General features: G+C 46.0%; 1 long non-coding RNA gene across 1 annotated transcript, besides 1 other annotated feature; it reads left to right on the plus strand.

Moving 5' to 3' along the window:
- Nucleotides 1-497: 497 nt before the first annotated feature.
- On the plus strand, nucleotides 498-1,250 carry LOC124903509 (uncharacterized). Its single transcript, XR_007064683.1, has 2 exons — nucleotides 498-745; nucleotides 960-1,250. It is a non-coding gene; the product is annotated as an uncharacterized LOC124903509 (long non-coding RNA).
- Nucleotides 3,574-3,868: an enhancer, noted in NCBI's record as "tiled region #15221; K562 Activating non-DNase unmatched - State 10:DNaseD". NCBI's record gives its function as "activates a minimal TATA promoter and a strong SV40 promoter by Sharpr-MPRA in K562 cells {active_cell/tissue: K562}" and the evidence as "EXISTENCE:reporter gene assay evidence [ECO:0000049][PMID:27701403]".

Genomic DNA, 6,089 nt, shown 5'->3' on the forward strand with positions numbered 1-6,089 from the left:
ATTTTAGGGGTCTGCAGAATCTCTACCCCCTACCCAGGAACATCTCACATCAAGGAATAAAAATCTGCCCTCCTATTAAGGAAGTGACCCACCATCTTTCCTTTACTTAAGAATTACTTTGGTTGTAGCCGGGCGCGGTGGCTCAGGCCTGTAGTCCCAGCACTTTGGAGGCTGAGGCTGGCGGATCACGAGGTCAGGAGTTCAAGACCAGCCTGGCCAACCTGGTGAACCCCGTCTCTAAAAATACAAAAATTAGCTGGGCACAGTGATGTGTGCCTGTAGTCCCAGCTACTCAGGAAGCTGAGGCAGGAAAATCGCTTGAACCTGGGAAGCGGAGGTTGCAGTGAGCCGAGATCATGCCACTGCACTCCAGCCTGGGCAGCAAAGTGAGACTCTGGCTCAAAAAAAAAAAAAAAAAAAGAATTACTTTGGTTGTTTGTTAAAATACATTAGGCCCCTCTCCTAAAGATTTTGACAAAATAGTCTGGAGGAGGGCTCAGGAATCTGTTTTTATTGCTGGATGCTAGAATCAGGAGATGCTAAGATTTATTTGCAGAAATGATATGTTTCCACTGTGCTGATAGAAGTCTGGACCTTTTTTTCTCAAGGTCTCTTTTAGGCTCCTTCCAACTGCTACTACTTTCTTCCTCAGGGAGTCACTGCCCAACCTTGGTATTGTAGGGTGACCAAGAGGACTACAGCGAGGCGCTCATCATTTTCCTGGGCCTGCCCTTGGGGGCTGGAGGTAACCTTAGATAGCATGAGATCCCCCTTGTCCTCAATTAGACTGCCTCTTGTTCCTCATCCTGATGTTCAGGGAGATGGTCAGCAGATGGTGCTAACTTACCACCCTTCCCTCTGAATCCTTTGGGGGCATTCTTAAAATTAATCCAGTGGAACTTTCAGTGTATCAAATCTTGAAGACAGTGCTAGGGAATTCTTGTTTGTATTTACTAAAGGGCACAGACGTCAGGAGTAGAAGGACTGGTGTGTGAATCCCAGCTGAGTTCCTTAACAGCCATGTGACCTCTGGTAAGTAAGTTAATTCCATAAGCCTGTTTTCCACTATAAATTGGGGTGCTCTTGACCTCCTAGAATTAATGTGAGGAATAAATGATCCCTTGGCACTTGCTATAGTGAGTAGGTGCTTACTAAGTAATAAAGATATTTTCCTGTGCAATGTTGTGAATTATGGATTTCCCTTTATGCCTTTAAAAATTCCTTTAAATAAAAAAATCAAAAAATATAAACAATGAGTTGCATACAAAATAAATAAAAAAATAAAAATAAAAAATTACTTTTTCGGTCATGCTTCTTAGCCAGCTAGTTGAGGATCTTACCCTATTCACAGTACTTTAGCATTGTGAGGAACTTGCTTGATTTCAAATGAAACACTTAAAAAGAGATGAAAGAGAGAATATGAACTCTTGGCTTATAAGTCCTTTCCAATTTCCAATTTCCAATTCATGTGCATTAACCATAATATTAGATAATAAAAGTGATTAACAATTATAATCACCCACTGGCTAGGGCCGGGCACAGTGGCTCATGCCTGTAATCCCAGCATTTTGGGAGGCCGAGGCGGGTGGATCACAAGGTCAGGAGATCGAGACCATCCTGGCTAACACGGTGAAACCCGTCTCTACTAAAAATACAAAAAATTAGCCAGTCATGGTGTCGGGCGCCTGTAGTCCCAGCCACTCTGGAGGCTGAGGCAGGAGAATGGCATGAACCTGGGAGGCGGAGCTTGCAGTGAGCCGAGATTGTACCACTGCACTCCAGCCTGGGTGACAGAGCAAGACTCCGTCTCAAAAACAAACAACCAAACAAAAAAAAAAAACAACCAATTATAATCATGTATTACCTGTAAGCAATTGTTAAATATACAGAAGCATCCACTGGCTATGTATGTAAAGTAGTACTCATGGGTAAATTAATCAATAACAAGGTTATGAAGAGAAAAGGCTTCTGAGCCATCAAAGTAGATATTACAAAGTTGGCATATCAAAGTTCATGTACTTTACTCATACCTAGGCTTTCAGAATTTCATTCTGTAAGTCTCTTTGCTCATTTTAAATACTAATTTGGTCATATGGATCCCCATTGCATGAGTCAGTAAATTAGAAAGGGGGAATAGGTGCTAGAACCACAGCCAAAGTGTTGTCTAATAGCCTGACAAAAAAGGAAACACAAAAACAGATGTGTGAACTCAACAAGAAGGGTATATAGTCTGGCATCATTTGGGATTAGATAAAATTTTTTATATATCATATCAGCCCTGGTTGCTATTTTATTAGTATTATACTTCCACAATAATGGTATTCATAATACATCAAGAAAAGATTGAATTATGTTATTTCTGTTTTTATAAAAGTAGACTAAATACTTTTATATTTCTACCCCAAAACAATCAAAAGTTTAAAAGTTTTGGAGGCCTGGTGCAGTAGCTCATTTTTGTAATCCCAGCACTTTGAGAGGCCAGGGCAGAAGGATCGCTTGAATCCAGGAGTTTGAAAACAGCCTGGGCAAAACAGTGAGACTCAGTCTCTACAAAAAATAAAATTTAGCCTGGTGTGGTGGCTCATGCCTGTAGTCCTAGCTCCTTGGGAGGCCAAGGTGGGAGGATTGCTTGAACCTGGGAGATCAAGGCTGCAGTGAGCTGTGATAGTGCTATTGCACTCCAGCCTGGGGAACAAAAACGCTGTCTCAAAAAAAAAAAAAAGTCTTAAATAAAGAGGAAAAGTTTGAATTTTCTGGAAAACTGCTTCTGTAAAACAACTCAATTTCCTATTGTGCTACAGAAATGAAACATCACCTTGTTAAATCTACAAAATTTTCAATCTCTTCCATTTCTAGCAGTGTGGGATACAGCAAATTCTTTTTTTTTGATGAGGGGACAGGGTCTCACTCTGTTGCCCAGACTGGAATACAGTAGCATAATCACAGCTCACTGCAGCCTCTACCTCCCAGGCTCAAGCGCTCCTCCCATCTCAGCCTCCCGAGTAGCTGGGACTACAGGTGTGTGCCACCATGCCTGGCTAATTTTTGTATTTTTTAAGAGATAGGGTTTCACCATGTTGCCCAGGATGGTCTGGAACTCCTGGGCTCAAGTGATCTACCTGCCTCAGCCTCCTAAAGTGCTAGGATTACAGGCATGAACCGCCACACCCAGCCAGCAAAGCCTTTTTTTTTTTTTTTTTTTTGAGACGGAGTCTTGCTCTGTCGCCCAGGCTGGAGTGCAGTGGCACAATCTTGCCTCACTGCAACCTCCGCCTCCTGGGTTCACGCCATTCTCCTGTCTCAGCCTCCTGAGTAGCTGGGACTACAGGCGTCCGCCACCACGCCTGGCTAATTTTTTGTATTTTTAATAGAGACGGGGTTTCACCATGTTAGCCAGGATGGTCTCGATCTCCTGACCTGGTGATCCACCCTCCTCGGCCCCCCAAAGTGCTGGGATTACAGGCGTGAGCCACAGGCGCCTGGCCAATTTTTGTATTTTTAGCCATGTTGGCCAGGCTGGTCTTGAACTCCTGACCTCAGGTGATCTGCTAGCCTCCGCCTCCCAAAGTGCTGGAATTGTAGGTGAGAGCGACCGCCCAAGGCCTTAGGACTGCCCTTTATATGCCACACCCCCACCATGGACACAGTTGACTGGACTAGAGGCAAACTGCAGCTGGGCCAACCAGATTGTCTCTCCAGGGAATTTGATTGGATAGCAGGATTGCCCTGTATTTCCCACCCCTGCCATGGCCACGGTTGATTGGACTAGAGGTGGAGCCCCAATTCAAACTGGGCCAATCAAATTCGGTCTTCAAGACAGGGCTATTCATTGACTTGAGATATAAATAGGGTGGCCACCTTCTTCTGTGAGCCCAGAGGAACAGAGAAAGCATATCTGCAAGCAGAACCAAGGGTTCCTGCAGAGAGGAAAGACCACACAGTGAGAGGGAGAGACTGCAACAGAGACAGGGGCTAAGAAGAGAGAGAAATTGGCCGGGTGCGGTGGCTCACGCCTGTAATCCCAGCACTTTGGGAGGCCGAGGCGGACGGATCACGAGGTCAGGAGATAGAGACCATTCTGGCTAACACGGTGAAACCCTGTCTCTACTAAAAATACAAAAAATTAGCCAGGCGTGGTGGCACCCGCCTGTAATCCCAGCTACTCGGGAGGGTGAGGCAGGAGAATCGGTTGAACGTGGGAGGTGGAGGATGCAGTGAGCCGAGATCGCACGACTGCACTCCAGCCTGGGCAACAGAGAGAGACTCCGTATCAAAAAACAAAAAACAAAACAAAACAAAACAAAAATAGCCTGGCATGGTGGCGGGCGCCTTTAATCTCGGCTACTCAGGAGGCTGAGGCAGGAGAATTGCTTGAACCCGGGGGGCGGAGGTTGCAGTGAGCCGAGATCGCGCCATTGCACTCCAGTCTGGGCAACAAGAGCACAGCTCCGTCTCAAAAAACAAAAACAAACAAACAAAAAAAAATAGAAATAAAGTCAGAGAGACAGTCTGAAAAACAGAGCATTGTAGGCCAGACGCGGTGGCTTACGCCTGTAATCCCAGCACTTTGGGAGGCCGCGGCGGGTGGATCACGAGGTCAGGACATCGAGACCATCCTGGCTAACACGGTGAAACTCTGCCTCTACTAAAAATACACACAAAAAAAGTTAGCCGGGCGTGGTGGCGGGCGCCTGTAGTCCCAGCTACTCGGGAGGTTGAGGCAGGAGAATGGCGTGGACCCGGGAGGCGGAGCTTGCAGTGAGCCGAGATGGCGCCACTGCATTCCAGCCTGGACAACAAAGCGAGACTCTGTCTCAAAAAAAAAAAAAGAAAAAAGAAAAGAAAAGAAAAAGAAAAACAGAGCATGTAACCCAAGATTGAATTAGAAATTGAGAGAACCAAAGCCACCGAGCATGAGAGAAGACAAGTTAATTGAAACCAGAAAGAGTGATTACCTGGATTCTGATGGCTCTGCAATTCTTGGTTCCAGTCCTTCCTGAGGTTACCTGGCACCCCTGTTACTTGTAATCAAAAGACTGCCAGTGCACAGTCCCACCTCTATTCTTTGGCTCTAGCCAACACCTTTACCTGAAACCCCATCTACCTCTAATTTTGCTTAAGTCCTCTCAATCCTTCCAGACTCTGTTCTTGTCCCAACATCTTGGTGACATTTTTCTCTTATCACGTCAGCTGCTAGAACTCTTTGAACTTGAGAGAACATTGTTTGAAAACTCCCTTGTTTGTAAGCAGAAGCAACCTGATCTGCCCATCTACCTGCCTGTTCCCCTCCTCCATGCCATATGGTACCGACCTTCACAGAATTCGCACTCAGTAACTGGGTGATCAGAAGGCTGAGACTGAAACGCTAGGGCTTTCCTGAGATGAGCATTTTGTCCATCCAGTGTGCAGTCTCCACAGGGGAACAACCGACAAATCAGCAGTGGTTTAATGAACTGAAAGCATCCTGGGAATGGTGCTATTAGCCTCACTGAAAATCATGAAAAGGGCTTTAGAAATCCTTCATTTATAGGTGAGTAAATTGAGGTCCAGGGGAAAGTTATGCAGCTAGCAAGGAGCACATTTGATTTTGGAGGCAAGACTCTTAGGAATTAAGTATCATGAGTTCAACTCAAGAATGCTGGCTAGGCCTGGCGGCAGTTCACACCTGTAATCCCAGCGCTTTGGGAGGCTGAGGTGGGTGGATCACCTGAGGTCAGGGGTTCAAGACCAGCCTGGCCAACATGGTGAAACCCTGTCTCTACTAAAAATACAAAAATTAGCTGGGCATGGAGGTGCACACCTGTAATCCCAGCTACTCGGGAGGCTGAGGCAGGAGAATCGCTGGAACCCCGGGGGCAGAGGTTGCAGTGAGCCAAGATCGCACCACTGCACTCCAGCCTAGGCGAAAGAGCAAAACTGCGTCTCAAAAAAAAAAAAAAAAGTGTTTCCTTGTCTGAAAGAGAGGTATCTGCCTGCAAGCCCCACCCAGCCTGCAGTCCCTGGTTTTGCACATCTGTTTCTGCTTGTGCCTCTCGTTCCTGACAGCCATACCATTAGCAGGCCACCTCCTAGCTATCATTCAGACCTCA

This window comes from Homo sapiens, chromosome 15 (genome assembly GCF_000001405.40).
Source record: "Homo sapiens chromosome 15, GRCh38.p14 Primary Assembly".
Taxonomy (NCBI): Eukaryota; Metazoa; Chordata; class Mammalia; order Primates; family Hominidae; genus Homo; species Homo sapiens.